At 39.0% G+C, this 18,698-nt stretch overlaps 1 long non-coding RNA gene across 9 annotated transcripts, besides 2 other annotated features; it reads right to left on the bottom strand.

Annotated features, from left to right (window-relative positions):
• Positions 1 to 206: 206 nt before the first annotated feature.
• On the bottom strand, positions 207 to 16,819 carry LOC105375924 (uncharacterized). Of its 9 annotated transcripts, NR_188116.1 has the most exons (5): positions 10,406 to 10,512; positions 7,009 to 7,198; positions 6,102 to 6,230; positions 2,146 to 2,187; positions 207 to 528 (listed from the first exon to the last, which is right to left on the bottom strand). It is a non-coding gene; the product is annotated as an uncharacterized LOC105375924 (long non-coding RNA). The 9 variants fall into 9 exon arrangements; NR_188115.1 differs by lacking the exon at positions 7,009 to 7,198; NR_188120.1 differs by lacking the exons at positions 7,009 to 7,198; positions 10,406 to 10,512 and adding an exon at positions 7,426 to 7,521 and having other exon boundaries at positions 2,146 to 2,219.
• Positions 8,060 to 8,119: a silencer, noted in NCBI's record as "silent region_19327". NCBI's record gives its function as "represses an Ori minimal core promoter by ATAC-STARR-seq in GM12878 lymphoblastoid cells {active_cell/tissue: GM12878}" and the evidence as "EXISTENCE:reporter gene assay evidence [ECO:0000049][PMID:35858748]".
• Positions 10,603 to 10,652: an enhancer, noted in NCBI's record as "active region_27579". NCBI's record gives its function as "activates an Ori minimal core promoter by ATAC-STARR-seq in GM12878 lymphoblastoid cells {active_cell/tissue: GM12878}" and the evidence as "EXISTENCE:reporter gene assay evidence [ECO:0000049][PMID:35858748]".
• Positions 16,820 to 18,698: the final 1,879 nt, after the last annotated feature.

The following is an 18,698-nucleotide window of genomic DNA, read 5'->3' as shown; positions in this document are numbered from 1 at the left end:
CTTTGCATTTGGTAAATGATGCTATTTGATCCCAGGTCACATCTTCTATAAAAGCATTATTTCATCCTGGTTTTGGCATATGAAGCAATGTTATGGCTGATGTTGATTTGTTTGCTTTTCTTCAATATTTAAAACAATATCCAGTTGTTAGTTTTTTGTTATCAATCCATGAGTATCTTGGAAGAGTACTATAATTTTACACTTTATCAAAAGAGGAAATATGTGGCTTTTATTGCTCAAACAAATAAGTTTCAGCAGGGCACGGCTGCTCACACCTGTAATCCCAGCACTTTGGGAGGCTGAAGCAGGTGGATCACCTGAGGTCGGGAGTTCGAGACCAGCCTGACCAACATGGAGAAACCCCATCTCAACTAAAAATACAAAATTAGCCGGGCATAGTGGTGCATGCCTGTAATACTAGCTACTCAGGAGACTGAGACAGGAGAATCACTTGAACCTAGGAGGTCAAGGTTGCGGTGAGCCAAGATCACACCATTGCACTCCAGCCTGGGCAACAAGAATGAAACTCTGTCAAAAAAAAAAGAAAGAAAGAAAGAAAGAAAATTTCAATTATTCTAGGATATGTCTTTTCTCTTACCATGAATCATCCAACTGATTACCCACATGGGCCTCACACTAGACCAAGTACTTTTTGAGCAGCATAGTATCAGAAGTACCAGCTATTGTGAGCCAAGAATGTGAATACTGAAGAAAAGCTGGAAAGATCAAGCACTATCAATGATCGAAGCTAAGGCAGGTAGGCAAATTGATGTCAGCATGCATCTATAAACCACAATAGTCAGAAGCCAAGCAAGTAGACAATAATTGGTGAGTGAAGTTGGGGGTGGGGGGTGATATGTAATAGAGCATGAGAAAAATCAATGGCAAAAAGACTAGATAGAAATATTATATGTAACTCATGAAAGACCAAAGACAAATTGTCCAACAATAAAGGAAAAAGCTACAGTAAATATGCTAGACTATATGCAGCTATTAAAATTATAACTCTGATCATTAGGTAGAAACATTGAAAAGTATTTACAAAATGATTCTAAGTGAATAAAAAAGTCATAATAACTACATATTCAGTATTTATTATTTCTAATTTAAAAACCAACTATAAAGGCAAAATAATGGAGACAAAAATATCAGTTGTTTCCAGAGGTCAGAAGGGAGTGAAGCACAGAGAATCTTAAGAGCAGAGAAACTACTCTGTATGACGTAGCCATGCATCACTTAACAACAGGGAAACATTCTGAGCAATGCGCCATTAGGCAATTTCATTGCTGTGCGAACATCACAGAATATACTTCTACCAATCTGGATGCTGTAGCCTACACATACAGCCTATTGCTCCTAGTCTACAAACCTAGGCAGCATGTTACTACATTGAATATTATAGGCAATTATATCACAATGGTAAGTATATGTGTATCTGAACATATCTAAACATTGAAAAGATACGGTAAAGTTACAGTATTATAATCTTATGAGACCATCCTTGTATATGCAGTCTGTGATTGACTGAGATGTTGTTATGCAACAAATGACTGTACCATAATGTTGGATATAGGTCATTATACATTTATCCAAACCCATAAAATGTACAACACCAAGGGTGAACCCTAATGTAAACTATGGACTTCGGGTGATAATGATGTGTCAATGTAGGTTCATTAACTGTAATGGATGTAGCATTCTAGAGGGGAATGTTGATCATGGGGGAGGCTATACATGTCTCAGGGCAGGGGACATATGGGAAATCTCTATATCTTCCACTCAATTTTTCTGTGATCTGAAATCTGCTCTAAAAAATAAAGATTTTATTTTTAAAAATTAACTACATGTGGACAAAATTTGTGAAATAACACGAAGAAATAACTATTAGAGAGTTGGGATTATGTTGTGATTTAGAAAATAGACTTTTTGTTGATTGATTTAGCCAAAAAAAATTTAATTCTATTGTAAAGATATGAGTTTAAGAAAATGGGCAAAGTGATGACAAAAAGAAAACCTGATAACTAAGGCTGGCATTTGCTTTAATCAAGAAATTATATATGCCTCCCATTGTTATCATTAATAAGAGCTAATACTTGTATATTATTTCCTGCATGCTGAGTCCTTAAAACAAAAATTAGTCCTCACCTATGATTAGAATCCACTTTGCGTATATCTTTTCTTTCATTCCTGTCAGAAATGGATAAAATGAGAGTATGCCACTGCATATGGAGAAAACAAGAGACATAGCAAAATAAAGGTATTTTTCTGCTTTCACTGTATAAGGATACAAGAGAAATATACAAGATGACTTCTGCCCTCAAGGCCTTTAGAACTTAGCTGGGGGAAACTGTACCTGAAATAATTGGCAGCGAAAGATACTGTTTTCTGTTGCATCAAAGTGCAATAAAATATTTTAAAAAGATAACAAATACATGAAAACAACTCCACCAGTGTTCCTCAATAGGAGTGCTGTTAGAATTAGTGACAGAACATTTCTTTCTTTGTGCAGAACTCTCTCATGCATTGTAAGATTGCTTACATCCCTGGCCCCTGTCCTTTAAATGCCAGGTGTTCCCAGCCATTGTGTCAAACAAAAATAAATTTAATTTCAAATGCCTCTCACATTTATTTACAAATTAAGACTCTTTAGACCAAACATTTTCAAACTCTAGTGTTCCAAAGAATCTTAAGTGCTTTGGTGCATCCTGTTCAACTTATCAATATTGAAAACCATAGTAAAAATAATACTGATAACCTGTGTATGCAAAACCCTTAGACATCTTTGACTCCTCTCTTCTCTCATCTTCCACATTAGATCAAGCAACACTGCTCTGTCTGCTCTACCTTTAAAACCCCATTCACGGTCCAACCATTTCTGTCTACCATACCACGTTGTCCAAACTCCCATCATCCCTCACCTGGATTATTGCAGTAGCTTCTTGTTGTGGACTGAATGTCTATGTCTCCCCAAAATTCATAAGTGAAGCCCTAACCTGCAATGTGCTGGTATTTGGAGACAGGGCCTTTGGGAGGTTAGATGAGGTCATGAGGGTGGAGCCCTGGTACAATGGATTAGTGTCCTTATTAGAAGGCTCACAAGAAAGCGCTCTCTTTCTCCCTCTCTTCCTCTTCCTCTCCTAATTCCTCCCCCAACCCAGGCACACCCATCAAGGGAAGGCCATATGAACACATGGCGAGATGGTGGCTGCCTTTAAGCTAAGAGAAGAGGCCTCCCAGTGACACTTACCTTGCTGGTACTTTGGTCTTATGCTTCACGGCCTCCAAAACCATGAGAAATAAATGTCTGTTGTTTAAGACACCCAGCCTGTGCTATTTTCTTTTGGCAGCCTGAGCCACCTAGTACCCCTCCCAACTAGTTGCTTGGCGTTCCCTTTGCCTTGTTCAGCCCATTCTCAGCATTGTGCTGAGAGTGATCCTGGTAAAAACGTAAGTCAGATTACATCATGTCCTCCTCAGAACACACCCATGACTTCTTCTTTTCTCATGAACATTACAAAAGGTTTTTACATAACCCTTGTGACTTGGGCCATGTGAACTTTTTGGCATGGCCTTTTAATACCCTTCCTGGCCTCCTCACCCAGAACACAGGCTTGCTGGTCCTCCGGTGTGCCAGGTTCGCTCTCTCCACAGGGCCTTTGCACAGCCTGTTCCATCTCTGGAGAGCTCCTCCCTTGCTCCCTCGACCATGAATTTCTTTACTCAGATTTCCATGGTCACCTTAGCTAGTGCCAATGCCCTTTCTCTCACACATCCACTTCCTATCTCCTTCCTTTAATTGACTGTTCTCATTGTCCTGTGCTGCTTTTTTTCTTTCCATAGCACATTATATATTTTACTTATTTATCTTGTTTATTGTTAGCTCATCCTCCCCATGAGAAAATCACCTCCATCGGGACAGGGGTTTTCTTTTCCGTGTTGTTCATTGCTGTTTTCCCAGTATCTGAAAAAGTATTTCTCAATATTTTTTTCATTATTGTTCCCCTAGGACTTTTTCAGGCATCTTTTTTCCTAATCGCCACCCTATGAAATTTTAATACCACAGATAGGCTGTATATATGATTATGTTTGGGGGGCCACAAACCATTTCAATATCTAACATTTTTCACCCTCAATAACTAATATTTTCTCCCTTGGCATATTATCACCATATTGAGGGTACATGATTGAGAATAAGGCCTTGGTAAATAACTAGCTGTTGAGAATAGCACATGGTAAATAACTATATGTTGAATAAATGAATGATTTAAATAATATATATACATAAAATTTATCACTGAATACCATCAACATGTTAACTTATGCAATATAAAATAACTTTATGCAAATTTCAGAAAGTTTTTCTGTTCCTTCTGTTTAATAGAAAATTCTGAGATTGAAGCCAGGCATGCTGGCTCACGCCTGTAATCCGAGCACTTTGGGAGGCCGAGGCGGGTGGATCACTTGAGGTCAGGAATTCTAGACCAGCCTGGCCAACTTGGTGAAACCCCGTCTCTACAAAAATACAAAAATTAGCCGGGCATGGGGGCGGTGGCACGTGCCTGTAATCCCAGCTACTCGGGAGGCTGAGGTGGAAGAATTGCTTGAACCCAGGAGCTGGAGGTTGCAGTGAGCTGAAATCCAGCCTGGGTGACAGAACGAGACTCCGTCTCAAAAAAATAAATAAATAAATAAGTAAATACAATAAAATAAAATAAAATTCTGAGATTGTTAATATTTATAACTATTTGACTCTATGAATCATAGTCCATTTTTTTTTTTTTTTTTTAGACAGAATCTGGCTCTGTTGCCCAGGCTGGAGTGCAATGACGCGATCTCAGCTCACTGCAAACTCCGCCTCCTGGATTCAAGCGATTCTCCTGTCTCAGCCTCCTGAGTAGCTGGGATTACAGGCATTGAAAAGATAAGTAAAGTTACAGTATTATAATCTTATGGCACATTCCTTGTATATGCAGTCCATGGTTGACTGAGATGTTGTTATGCAACAAATGACTGTACCATAATGTTGGATATATGGTGCCCGCCACCATGCCTACCCCACTAATTTTTGTATTTTTAGTAGAGATGGGATTTCACCATGTTGGTCAGGCTGGTCCCGAACTGCTGACCTCATGATCCACCCACCTCGGTATCCCAAAGTGCTGGGATTATAGGCGTGAGCCACCACGCCCGATGAATCATAGTCTTTTAAAATATTAAGTAACCATAATAAAATAAGACATAAATTTCAGTTTGAGGCTAAATATAAGACCACTATACTTATCTATATACCTTGATTCCAAACTTTTTATTAATTGAAACATTAAGTCTCACTAGCTTGGTAATTAAACTCTGTACATTCAAATGTATATCTATAAGATTTTGCATGACCACGTTACTTAAAACTTTAAAAAGCATTGCATTCAACTGCCTGCTCCCAGAGGCAAGAGGGACTGTGATTATCTGTCTTCATAGTTCCACTGCCTTGTTGAGTACCTGGCACATAGTGTGCACCTAATAAAGACAGTTTAAATGGTTATAGGCTGATTCTATTCAGGAGAAGTTTATGAAGAAGGTAGAACTTGAATAGAGACTAAAAGCTATACTGAATTTACATAGAGCAAACATTTCCTACTGGAGAGAACATCAGGAGGAAGGACTGTCAATTGTACATTTGGGAACACAGAGAAATCATCTTAGGTATATAAAAGAAATTCAATTATGAAAAGCCTTGAAAACGAACCTGAGGAGTTTGGACTAAAAGCAAAAAGAAACCATTATAAGAATTTATGAAGTAGAGTGACATCATGAAAGTTGTCTTTTAGGAAAAGTCACCTGGCAACAGTATGAAAGGTGAATTAGGAGAGAATGAGAGGATGTAGATTAGTCAAGAGACTATCAGTTATTGGATGTGAATTAAAGAGATGACCTTTGTAATAGGGAAGAGTGGAGAGACTGAGGCAATTTCAGAAAACTAGGTAGAGCCATTTTCTCATTAAGAGCCTTTGGCTGCAAGTAACAGAAATGAGATTAAACAACAAGAAAAAATATTGAGTCCCACTGCTGGATATCCAAATGTAGTGCCCTTTCAGGGACAGGCTTACTCCAGTTTTCTTCCAGCTCCATTTCTCCGAGATTCATTTGACTCAGTGCTCCTCTATTTGTCAGTCTCATGTTCCAGGTAGCATGAACCTAGCGACTTCAGTTCCATCACATCCACACATGAACAAATCCTGAGAAAAAGCAAGAAAAAACATAGAGAAAGAATTACTCCTGAAAGCTTTTTCAGAAATGCAATAAAGAATTTCCCGAGAATCACTAATAAATCTTTTCTTGAATCTCAGGGACATTAACTGGTTTGTATGCCAATTACTAAAGCAATGTGGCATGAAGAAAGAGGATTCTCCTTGGACCATTCTAGTGCCTTCCTGGGCTTGGGAGAGAGTTTGACTTCTGAGCCACATGGGCTGCCTAGGGGAGGATTTGGATACTGTACCAAAACTGGAGTTTAAGAGAAGAGGAAAGGGGTAAGGGATGCTGGGTGTACAGCCAACAATGCAATGAAGAAGAGAACAGAATTTAAGATGATTCCTCGTTTCTAGCTATTCAGTGGTATGACAGGTAAGAGAGACTAGTTTGAGGGTCAGAGATGAATTTAAACTCCATTTTTAGAGAGATTATATTAAACTGCAAAATGCTACTCAAAGATACTGTGGCTTCCTTATTAGTAATTGAATAGGCAGTGAAGAATGACCCTGAGCCCTAAGGGATATCTCAGAGCTGGAAAGAGAAATTTAGATGTCATCCATATGGAAGTGAATGAGCTCCCCAGGGAGTGGTTATAGAAAAAGGACCCATGATGAGTCTTAGCCTCAGATTGGAGGGAGGAGGAAAATCAGATGTTAGGAGATTAAAGAAAAAGAGCTGTCAGAGAGAGATCAAAGGAGTAGTAAATGTGATATAATCATGGAAGTTGAAAAAAAAATTCATGATGAAGATATCAAATGTTACCTAAAGATTATGAAGAAAGAGAGCTGACAAAGCCAAATTTGGGGCTTTAATGGAACAAGATGTATGTAAGGAAGTTATTAAAAGATTCATGAAAGATTTCCAAACAGCAGCAAAGACTGAATTGAAATTCTCAGAATAAATCTGCAATAGGCCAGGTCAACTGAGTTCCTTTCACAATCCAATATGGCTCCTGCATAAGAAAAAAAAAAAAGAATGATTTGATCATTAAAGATGCACAATTGGGTTTGGAAAAAGATACAGAGGTGAGAGAATTTAGAGTCCTGAAAAATCAATATGAAATCGTTGAGTATGGAATTCACGCTGTAGAGGGAATCCTCAGCCAAAGGATGAGAATGGACTGAAACTCAGCCTTTGGTTCTGTTTCATTGGATTTGCAATATAATATAGCAGACTTACTAGCTTAATGTCTTGGTTTGAGTTCCCTTGAAAGCACAGCTTAAAATAAGGGCTTGGGTACAGGTGGTTTATAAGGGAGGCTAGGCTAGGAAAAAGAATATGAGGAGTAAGACAAGGAAGTGATAAAAACTGATGTGTGTTATTGATTTCAGCCAACTATTGCTGACAGTTCAAAGTCTGCAGTGTAGTTACCGGAATCCCACCTCAAGCTCACGTGATGATGTTTCTGTTTCTCTGCCACAAAGCTTTCTTTAAAGCTCAGTTAACAACACAGCCTGAAATTTCAGAGGTGTTAAGAACTCTAGGCAACCCTCAACCAGTGGGAGAAGGCAGGGTGAATAAGGGCCTGCTGTACCAGCCAGTTACCACTGTAGGCAATTGAGACTCAATCCCTCTGGGGACACACAGAGGAATTGTGAAGAATGCCCTTGGAATGGTCCCATCAAATAACAGGGAAGTTGAACCCTGGTTGAAGGTTTCCCCCAGATGATAACACCAGCACAATCCCAAGTTACACCTGCACAGGTGTTTCAGAGAAAGCCCTAAGGCAGAAAAGCAAAGAGCAACTACCACATGTGCTTGAAGTGAGACACTAGTAATTGCATGCCACTGTCACCACAGCTGTCCATCACAGCTGCCCACCACAGCTGCTCAGAAATCAGTAGCCCAAGAAGCTGTGACATGGGCATCACACACAGCTGCTACACCAAGGTTTCTCTACCACAACACTACTGACATTTTGGACTAGATAATTATTTGTCATGGGGACTGGCATGTGCCTTGTAGGATGTTAACCAGCACCCCTGGACTTTACTGACTACATGCCAGCTGCCCCCTGTCCAGTTGTGACAAGAAAAAATATCTCTAGACATGGTCAAGTGTCCCTAGGGAGGCAAAAATCACACCCAGTTGAGAACCACTGTGCAACACTGTGTAACCTTGGGCAAGTTGCTTCACTTCTCTAAATCTGTTCTTTTTTTTTTCTTTTTTCTTTTTTTTCTTTTTTTTTTTTTTTTTGAGATGGACTCTTGTTCTGTTGCCCAGGCTGGAGTGCAGTGGTGCCATCTCGGCTCACTGCAACCTCTGCCTCCTGGGTTCAAGCTATTCTCCTACCTCAGCCTCCCAAGTAGCTGGGATGACAGGCGTGAACCACCACACCTGGCTAATTTTTGTATTTTTAGTAGAGACAGGGTTTCACCATGTTGGCCAGCTGGTCTCGAACTCCTGACCTCAGGTGATCCGCCCACCTTGGCCTCTCAAAGTGCTGGGATTACAGGTGTGAGCCACGGTGCCCAGCCCTCTAAATCTGTTTCTTGTCTATAAAATGAGTATAATAATAGTACTGACCTCATAGGTTTAGAAGATGATTAAATGAATTGGTGAACATTAAGCACTTATCAGAGTAAATGGACACTTAAGTGCATAGTATGTGTTTAATAATAAGGTAATAATAATAATGGCAGTACTGTAAAAAAATCTGATTTTATAGTGATATATTTTTATGGCTAGAATTCAAGGTTTAATTTCCTCTTCTTTGATTAAAATAATAAAATAAGGTACTCATTAGTAATAAAAATAAGGTACTTATTCCTAATATCTATTTCAGCAAATGAATCAAAGGCTGAATCTCAATGTGAATAAATCAAAGTGAAAAAGTTTGACATCAGTCACTTTTGATCTTTCATTACCAAACACCAATTAATGCTCTTAAGTTAAACATGACCACGTGTCATTTTGTTGTAGCTAAGTGAATTCGGAGTGTGAAGGAGATAAAAAGAACTCTGCTTAAAAAGTAAATAGAAAATTTGAATGCTGTGTATTTCAGAATAATCTTGCAGACTTTACACCTCAGTATTTTATAAAATACAGATTTAAAATGTACATTTAGTAAAACAAATTTTTTAGCATAGTCTGCAATCTCTGACTTAAAGACATGAATATTTTGGGTTTATTAGCATAAATTGAATACCAGCATGCAAACACTGAAATGAATTTAAGGAAATTGTTAATGATTCATTACATAGAGTAATTAGGTTTTTGTATGATTAGAGTAAATGCGTTAGCAAAATCAATTATGCACTGATACAGTGAAAAACCACTCTCAGGAAAGAAGTCAATGGTGTAATAAAAAGGACATTTTTGCAGGGCTCCTCCTGCACTTTCTTGACAATCACAAACAGCTGTTGCCATCTGCCAGGGTGAGCCCTTGGCAAAAAGGCATGACAAACCTCTGCCAAACCCTGGTCTGTTGAAAGTGTCCACCCCACAACTCTCAGAGACCGAGTATCCTTAAGAGATAGTAAATGAATCTCCAGTGAAACTGGCTTATGTCATTTTTAAGGGATTGTAGGCGAAAGCAAACAAGATAACACAGAAGAAGTGCATTCGTGGAGAATTGCCTTTGTGGCTCTGCTTCTATTACTTTAAATCTTTTAGAGGGTATACGCTTTTCCCCTCAATGGAATCATTGTTCAAACTTATTGTATGGTGTTGTAACTACTTCTTAATGTGTATTAAACTGCTAGTACAAGTGCCAAGACATTGTCATCTTTGTATCTCCAAGACCTAGCACAGAGCACGCACTCAGTGAGTAAAAGAATGAATAAAAGTATTGGTCCAGGCCTGGTGCAGTGGCTAACACCTGTTAATCCCAACACTTTGGGAGGCCAAGGCAGGTGGATCACCTGGGGTCAGGAGTTTGAGACCAGCCTGGCCAACATGGTGAAACCCTGTCTCTACTAAAAATACAAAAACTAGCCGGGTGCGGTGGCTCATGCCTGGAATCCCAGCTACTTGTGAGGCTGAAGCAAGGGAATTGCTTGAACTCAGGAAGCAGAGGTTGCAGTGAGCTGAGATTGCGCCACTGCACTCCAGCCTGGGCAACAGAGGGCAACTCTGTCTCAAAAAAAAAATATATATATATATGTGTGTGTGTGTGTGTGTGTGTGTGTGTGTGTGTGTGTATGTATGTCCAGCTTACCATGACTGCTGTACCAGGCTCCAAGATCAGTTGTGAATTTCAAATATCAATCTCAGCCTTCACAGGGTTATCTTAAGTACTGTACCTCAGGACCACTGACTCTTCTCATCATGTGTCAGCCTTCCTAGAATAGACACAGTCTGAAGCAGCAGGAAATGAGGCAATGAGAGCCATGTGACATAGGCCACATCTACACCCCTGAAGAAAAGAAGTTAGGCAATCTTCTAGATCATTGACATAGAAAAAGATTTTTGCCAGGAAATGCCAGATAACTCAGGCGAAGTGCTTTTTTCTCTGCTTGAATTAATAGTATAATTGCCTCAGTTCTCCATTTGTCTATTTTTGTTCAGACACAGCTTCAGATAAAATCATTTGCAGCAAAGAGTCCTAGGGGAATAAAAGAAAAGGAGCCCAGAGACAAAGGAGGAACCTTCTAAACTAGTTCAACTGTGTCACAGAACAGCCTGAATGCATCCAGGTGGCAGTATGGAAATTAGGAAGCGAAACTGGATCTATGCAAATGATGAGGAAATGCTTATTTGAATTTCACAAACAAGAGCGTTAGCTATTTTCACAATGTGAAGCATTTGATTTTACCTCAATGTGTCAATATTTCAAAGGCAGGTCCTTGCAGATCAATTGCTTCTATTTCTTTTCTGTGGATGTTGACTGCAAAGAGGCTTTTCTGTAAGAATGCAATCTAGAAAAGTTTAAAAGCAATAGTGGTAGAGATGAAATGGTTTTAAAAACTAAACTTAAATAATAATACTGTCTCCTAGGAAGTGATTTTGAATAATAATTTTAAAAATCAAATTAAGTCCAGTAGAGTCTCACATCAATGTTATCTCTGAAGCCCCGGCTCTGAGATCATGCTAGAGGTGGAATCATATATTAACAAGCATCTTCCGGGGCTGTCATTATCATTCTCTGTTATATTTTATTCAAGACAATTTATCTGCTATTGCTTAGCCATCTTTATAGCTTCAAGTTTCAGATTATGAGTGATCACAACAGAGTTCTAAAATCTGATAGAAAAGTAAACAGACACCATATAAATTAGAATGCAATTAGATGTAAGAAAGCTTTGTAAACTGCAACACACCATGCAAATCTGTTATTATGGTACAGAAGGCTCATTGAAGCCTGTTTTTTTCCCTTTTAACAAAATGATGTGACTAATTATGAAGATAAAAACTCGTTAAATCTTTTAAACTGATTTTCCTTTCTAATTATTGGAAGCTTATATATTGTCTGAGAGTAAATTTCTTTTCTGAAACTAGAAACTAGCCTCTCCCTGGTTTGATTGGATTTCATAGGGCCCACTGTGATACATCACCTCTGGAACTGTTTGACTCAAAGGAAGATAGGATTAGTCTACCTGTATTATAGGAATTCACCATGGAAACCATGGAACAGGAAAAAAAATTAGTAAAAGAAAAGCAAATCAAAATCACCATGACTATTGAATACAGGTAGTTAAAATTACAGTAAGAGTTCCCCCTGCTTAGTTGGGATTCTATTCCTGAGCCTTGAAAAGAACTCACAGACTTTCTTTGAGTAAGACTTGGGGCATACAATGAAATGACTTTTATCTTAAGCTAAATGACCTGCATGATAATTTTATTTCCCTTCAGAATTAATTCTTTTTTTTTTTTTACAGGCCTAACAGTTTAAAGGTAATTTGAAAAATTGATATAAACTTAAACATAAAATGGTAAACGCTCACACATGAAAAAAATCAGCTCCAGAAGTCATATCAGTAAGACTGTTGTGAATGACATTGTACACCAAATTGTGGATCATATACTTTGCTTCAAGTTTCTTTTTCATTCTTTAGGATTTTTTTTTTTCCTTCAACGTTTGCTTCACTGGGAGAGGCAAAGGTGTGCTTTTAGACATCATCAGGTTAAATAACTCTAATCTTAAACTTTTTTTTCTTTTTTTTTTTTTTTTGAGACGGAGTCTCACTCTGTCGCCCAGGCTGGAGTGCAGTGGCATGATCTCCACTCACTGCAAGCTCCGCCACCGGGGTTCACGTCATTCTCCTGCCTCAGCCTCCCGAGTAGCTGGGACTACAGGTGCCTGCCACCATGCCCGGCTAATATTTTTGTATTTTTAGTAGAGATGGGGTTTCACCGTGTTAGCCAGGATGGTCTCGATCTCCTGACCTCGTGATCCACCTGCCTTGGCCTCCCAAAGTGCTGGGATTACAGGCGTAAGCCACCGCGCCCGGCTAATCTTAAACTTTTTGAACAACTGATCTCCAAACTTTTCATTGTGTCTCCCTTTAGTTTAAAAAGAGAGATCTCTGATAGATCTATATACAAAAATTTTAAAACAGAGATATTTTAAAGATGTTTTACTAAAAGTATTCATTCTAAGAAGAGATCATCAATCCCTTGTCTAAGATATTTTTCATAATTACCTTTGATGGACTTAATAACACGTGCTATGCAGCCATTGCTTTGTTATTTGTTTTCTTTTCCTTCACTATGCTCTTGGGCTTTAATCACTTCTTAAATTGCTTCTAGATGCCTGTGTTGCCATCCTGAGTCTCACCTGGGAGATTCGCATACTTCGAACACACAATGATTCAGTTTGCAGCAATTTGGTCTCAATAGAAGTCAGTTTTCCTAAGTAAGAGCTAGCCAAATTCAATTTGAAGGAAACTTAGTGGATTAATCAAATCATCTTGACTATAATTTCATAGAATTAAGTATTTTATAAAATGAGTGGTCTATTATTACATACTTAAATTTCTTTATACAGAAATTCAATATTGCTCTAGTAATGTGTACTTGATAATATCTACATCATTCTTACCGGTTTCATTAAAAAAAAAATTTTTAACAAAAAGATCAAAGAACCCACCGTTGTATTGATACTGGTGCTGCAGTTCTAGAAAAAGAAAATATTCTTAAATATTTCTTAAAGAAAATATTTTAAAGATGGGTATTAAGGAGGACCAGAATCGAAACATTATCTTCTTTGCTATGGTTGTTGCTATTAGTTAAAACACTTTAAACCACATTTAATAAAATAAACTCACTGTTCACCATTTATACAATGTTACATGTCATTATGATAGGAAATAGTACGGGGAAATTATATTTCAAAATGATTCCAAGTGATCTCACTTTCTCTCTTTCTCTCTCTCTCACACACATACACACACACTCACACACACACACACTGTTCATGACTTTTTTCCAGAGCCAAGCTAAGAGGCTATAGTAGGCTGGTGGTCCTACAATTAAAAGTTATCATAGTAAGTGCAAAGGACTGGAATGAGATCTTTCATTCACGTCTGACTCAACCTCCAATTCCTGCTGTGAAAATGTATATAATGTATTTTTTTAATCCAATAACAATTATTTTTAGAATCGTGCAAACATTACAATGTTAGCTACATCTCACCTCCCTTTCCTTTCTGTGGATAACAGAGTTGGAAAGTATATGCTATTTTTGACCATATTTCTAATTAAGTTTAGTTGGTCATATTAGCCAACAATTCAACTAAGGCCTTTCAATACTTAGTCCTTTAATTTAATGAATTATTTTCCCTTTGAAGTTTCAGTAACAGCTGAATAAGGTGGGTGTAGCCGGGGGGTTTAGATGTCACTCTCATAATGAGAGCAAGATCATTCTTTCAAATGTTCAAATGTGCCTATTCTTAGGTTTTATCCTACCTAATTTAATAACATTAAAAATTAATCTTCTCTACTCTTTAGAAAAGTGAAAATTTTAGACAAGTGATTGGAGAAAAGATTTATGTGCATATTTAATTATTTAATTATTTATGTTGGTCACTGCCACTAAAGCTGCAAATCAGAGAAGATGAGGTTTGGTGCCTAGTGACAGTGATGAGGCATTTGCAAATCTGTAATGGGTGCTGTAAGACACAGGTATTAACCAACATCTTAATCATAAGCAATTTCCTAGGGCAAAGGGAAGCCATCTTGATAAGGGTACATGGTGTACTTCACAGGCCTTTTGCCACAGCCTGTTTCATAATTTATTACAGCAGCTTTGTTAATAACATACCAAATATTTCCCTCCCTCCTTGCTAACCAACTTCTGCTGACTTATGAAGAAATAATCAAGGGAGATATCTCATTTCTTCAATTTCATCTGCTCCTCACCTTCCTCCTCCTCCAGCTTACCACCTCTTCCAAGATCCTGCTGATACCTAACTACTGGCCTCCTTAGCCAAACTCAGAAAGCTGTTCTTGAGGCACAGGGAATTGTTCCATTGGGCGGCCTACCCAAGTTCAAAAACACCCTCATCTACACAGTGATCATACCTGAAATTCCAGAATGATCTTTGGCAGCATTTTTTCCCTCCAGAAATCTTTTGGGGACTTTAGCAAATTTCTTAGAGGGAAGAAATCTAGATTGGAGTAACCAACCAGGGATTAAAAGGCAGAAGTAGAAAATCTGGATTAGAAAGATTATAGTTGCTCACCACCACATGACTGAATTCTCAACTGTTCCTGAGTAAATGGTGATAAGAACGGTCATAAAGATTAATCATTTCTGACCATGAAGTAGGTGCTGTCTTTATTGGCAGCCAGACACTTGTATAATTCTTTCCCTCCTCCGTTTCTCCACGTTCCTATTTGAGAAAGAAAACATCCGAGGGGATGGACTGGGGGAGGGGCAGAGATGGAACTAGGTATGAAAAAGCTGTAAATTTCACATTCTCATTCCAGCTGTCAGTTTTCTGTTGTCTTGCCCCAAACACTTCTCTATTTTACTGTAAGGTCAAATGAACTGGAAAATCCTCTGGAGTATCTTATCTATGTCATAGGACCTCTCTGTTAATAGAAAACTACTTCATTATCATGTGAAATAAGAAGCTGTAAGATAATCAGCCTATATACATTTAACTCACACTTTGTCACTTTTAGGGGCTTTGCAACACCTCGTCCAGCTGCCTGTTAGATTTCGTCTGATTGTTGTAGTAGTTGTTCATCAAAACAGAGGAAGATCATATTCCATATTCATTATTCATAGAAAACCACCATGGGGTGGTCTATTTATAGCTCAAAATTGTCGCTCTGTAGAATAGGGAAGAGGGATCAACTCACGCCAAGATCCTGAATCCAAGCAAGAGATGATGGTGTGCCCAATAATTCCAAGGATGGCATGATCGGCTGCATGGCTCCGTCTCCAATTATCCTGCTTCATTTTGACTGTTAATTCTGTCAGGAATTTTTGACAGAAAACCAACGCATCAGAGATAAGACTGAATGAATTAATTCTGGTCCTTTAAGCCTAAAATATTAACATAGCAACCAATCTGATGGGGAGGACCCAGTGGAGCGGGAGGGGATGATATCACAGCTGCACAATTGCATGTTGTAATCACTGCTGTTATCTTCTGTGCTTTATATTCAATAGTTCTCTGATAGTTCTCTGTGCTGAGCACTGCATATTGATTTGGAGAAAAGTAAATGAGTTTCTGAACACATAAAGCCTTTCTGATATACTTAGAACAATTCATTCCCCTTTTTATTCTTCTCTGATTTATTTTCTAACTTCAAAGGTCATGTGACTCCCTTATTTTTAACTTTTTTTTTTTACATAATTTGTTAGGCAGGATAATTGTTTGATGGAGTAAACATGCCAAAAAAATTAAAATTAAATTAGAAATGAATTTCTTCCTAACAAGAATCCAGTTCAAACAGATTTAAAGGTTCTAACATGGTGTGCGAAATATTTATGAAGATCTTCCTACTTAGACATCTAGAAGGTACAAGAGAGAAGTGATTATGTTAGAAAGGCAGCACTCTGATACCAGCACAAGGCCCTTCAGTTGCAGTAAACCTCAATGTTCTCTGATAAGAGATTTCAGGTGTGGATATGCCTCCAGACAGTGAGGGTTCTTGCCGGCTGCTTACTCACACTCCCTGACAATTCTGCTCCGGTGCCAGACAAGAGGCTGGGTGGTGGGGAGTATTTGTCTTAAGGAGGTACTGGGTGCACTATCTCTCCATAAAGAGGGCTAGAGACCAGGGAGCACCTGTCTTGGGGAGCTCCTCTTGTGCCCAACCCTTCCAATCTGGGAGGATACAATGAGTGAGTGAATGTGCCCGAGCTTAAAAAGAGCAACTTAAGGGCTAAGCACTCTCCTCTGAGATGATAGGTAGCTCCCATTTACTGAGTGCCAAATATGCCAGGCATGACATAAGAAGTTCATTCAATCCTTTAACAATTCTTTGAGGCCCATTTTATGATTATTCTCATTTTAGAGATCAGGAGACTGAGGCTTGGGAAGGTAAACTTACCAGCCCAAGCTCCCATGGCTGGAAAGAAGTAATGCTGATGTTCTAACTCATGCTCTTCCCTAGGCGTAACCACTGCTGCTCTTGGCTGCTCACCAGGCTGCCTCCAAACTTGCTGTCATGTGCTGAGAAGGCAAACGGTAGCTCGTGAGATGACCCCAGCATTTGTGGTCAAAGGCCTTCCTTGGCCACTTTCTGGTATGTGAGCAGTGTGTCAAACTGTTCCTTCACCCCTGCTGGTAAAATGAGTAAAATCAGACTTATTGGGAAAGACCAATGTAAGAATTAAATCTGTTTTCCAAGCAGATTACTTGGTATATAATCAGTGCTCAATGTTTGTTGCATCTGATTCTTGTATAATAAATATATGTATATTTGATAATAAAAATATATGTATGTTTTATATAGCTTCACATTAAATAGCAACTTGATAACATCTCATTTCATCTTTAATAGCGACTTGATAAAATTCAGGGTTGAATTTGAGAGTTTAATTCTCCACTTTGTCTCATCTTATACATAGATACCCATGCATTTGCTTCCAAATTTAGAGCTCAGTTTCTCAGCTGGAACATCCACACATACGTTGAGGAACATGCAAGCACCTGGCCCGGAGCCCCCACAGCAGGAAACTGGTGGACAGGTGGTTGAACTGAATCTCAGGCTTGGCAGTGAACTATGCTACACCCATTTCCTGCTATGACCTCTTGTCCACACATGGTTCCTGCTCTTGGCTGTTGGGGGTTCCTCCCACTTACAGCCCACAGCACTTTACCATACTTGCCTGAGGAAGGAGAAAGTGCTGCTGGCAGTGTAGCTGGGTAGGAAGATAAGTTGTATAGGGCAACAGGAAAAAAAAAAAAAGAGGCAAGAGTCGAGGAGAGAGAAGAGGTGCTGTGTAGGCCAGAGACAACCTTGGCTTCCCGGATGTGGTGTGTGCCTTTGGATACAATGGAGTGATGTATGCTTGTGTGATGCGAGATAGGGGACCTTGAGAATATCGCCAGCCTTTGTGACATTGGATAAAGGGGCACACAACAGCAGATCTCAAGACCTTTGCACATACTCTGCCTGAGATGCTCTTGCTTGAGGCTACCCAGCTGGTGTCTCCTCCTTGAGAGTCTTCTCTGACTTTTCTACTTAAAATAGTCACCGTCATTCCCATGATATTGTGTCATCTTCATAGCACCTATTATGATCTGAAATTAAATTCCGTATTGAGTTACTTGTTTTCTGATTTATCTTCCCCTTCTAAAATGTAAGCTCCTGACTACTATCCCCGCAATGCCCACAATAATGACTGACTGAATACATATTTATCAAAAGAATGAATATTACCAGTGACATTTCACCCACTTTTAGGCTGTTAATTTCCTCCTTATTCTAGATCTCCACTCAGATATCCCATTTTTATTCAAAGTCAGGCTCAAAAATTGGGCTGAATGTCCTCTATTCGTTTCCCCAAAAAGCCAAAATATTTCCTGTCTTGTGCTTTTGCATGCTGTTCGCTCTGCCTGGAACATCAACTACTTCCACACTCTCCTCTCCTTGTCCAATTCTCTGCTATTAGGATATTCGGTTGCTTCTCATCCAAATTCAATGTCATTCCCCAGAAAGGATGTCCCTGATTAGCAGTCATCTCTGCAATTTTTTTTTTCTTTTTCTGAGACAGATTCTCATTCTTTCGCCAGGCTGGAGTGCAGTGGCACAATCTCGGCTCACTGCAACCTCCGCCTTCCAGGTTCAAGAGATTCTCCTGCCTCAGCCTTCCAAGTAGCTGGGATTACAGGTGCCCACCACCATGCCCGGCTAATTTTTTGTATTTTTAGTAGAGATGGGGTTTCACTATGTTGGCCAGGTTGGTCTCAAACTCCTGACCTCAGGTGATCTGCCCACCGCGGCCTCCCAAAGTGCTGGAATTACAGGCGTGAGCCACTGCACCCAGCTTCTGCAATATTTTCTGTTAGAGCAATCTAGGTTTCCTTTTTGGTTTTGATTTTGGTTTT

This window comes from Homo sapiens, chromosome 8 (assembly GCF_000001405.40).
Source record: "Homo sapiens chromosome 8, GRCh38.p14 Primary Assembly".
In the NCBI taxonomy this organism is placed as follows: domain Eukaryota; kingdom Metazoa; phylum Chordata; class Mammalia; order Primates; family Hominidae; genus Homo; species Homo sapiens.
The sequence above is the reverse complement of the archived record's forward strand: the minus strand, read 5'-3'. Positions and strand labels throughout refer to the sequence as shown.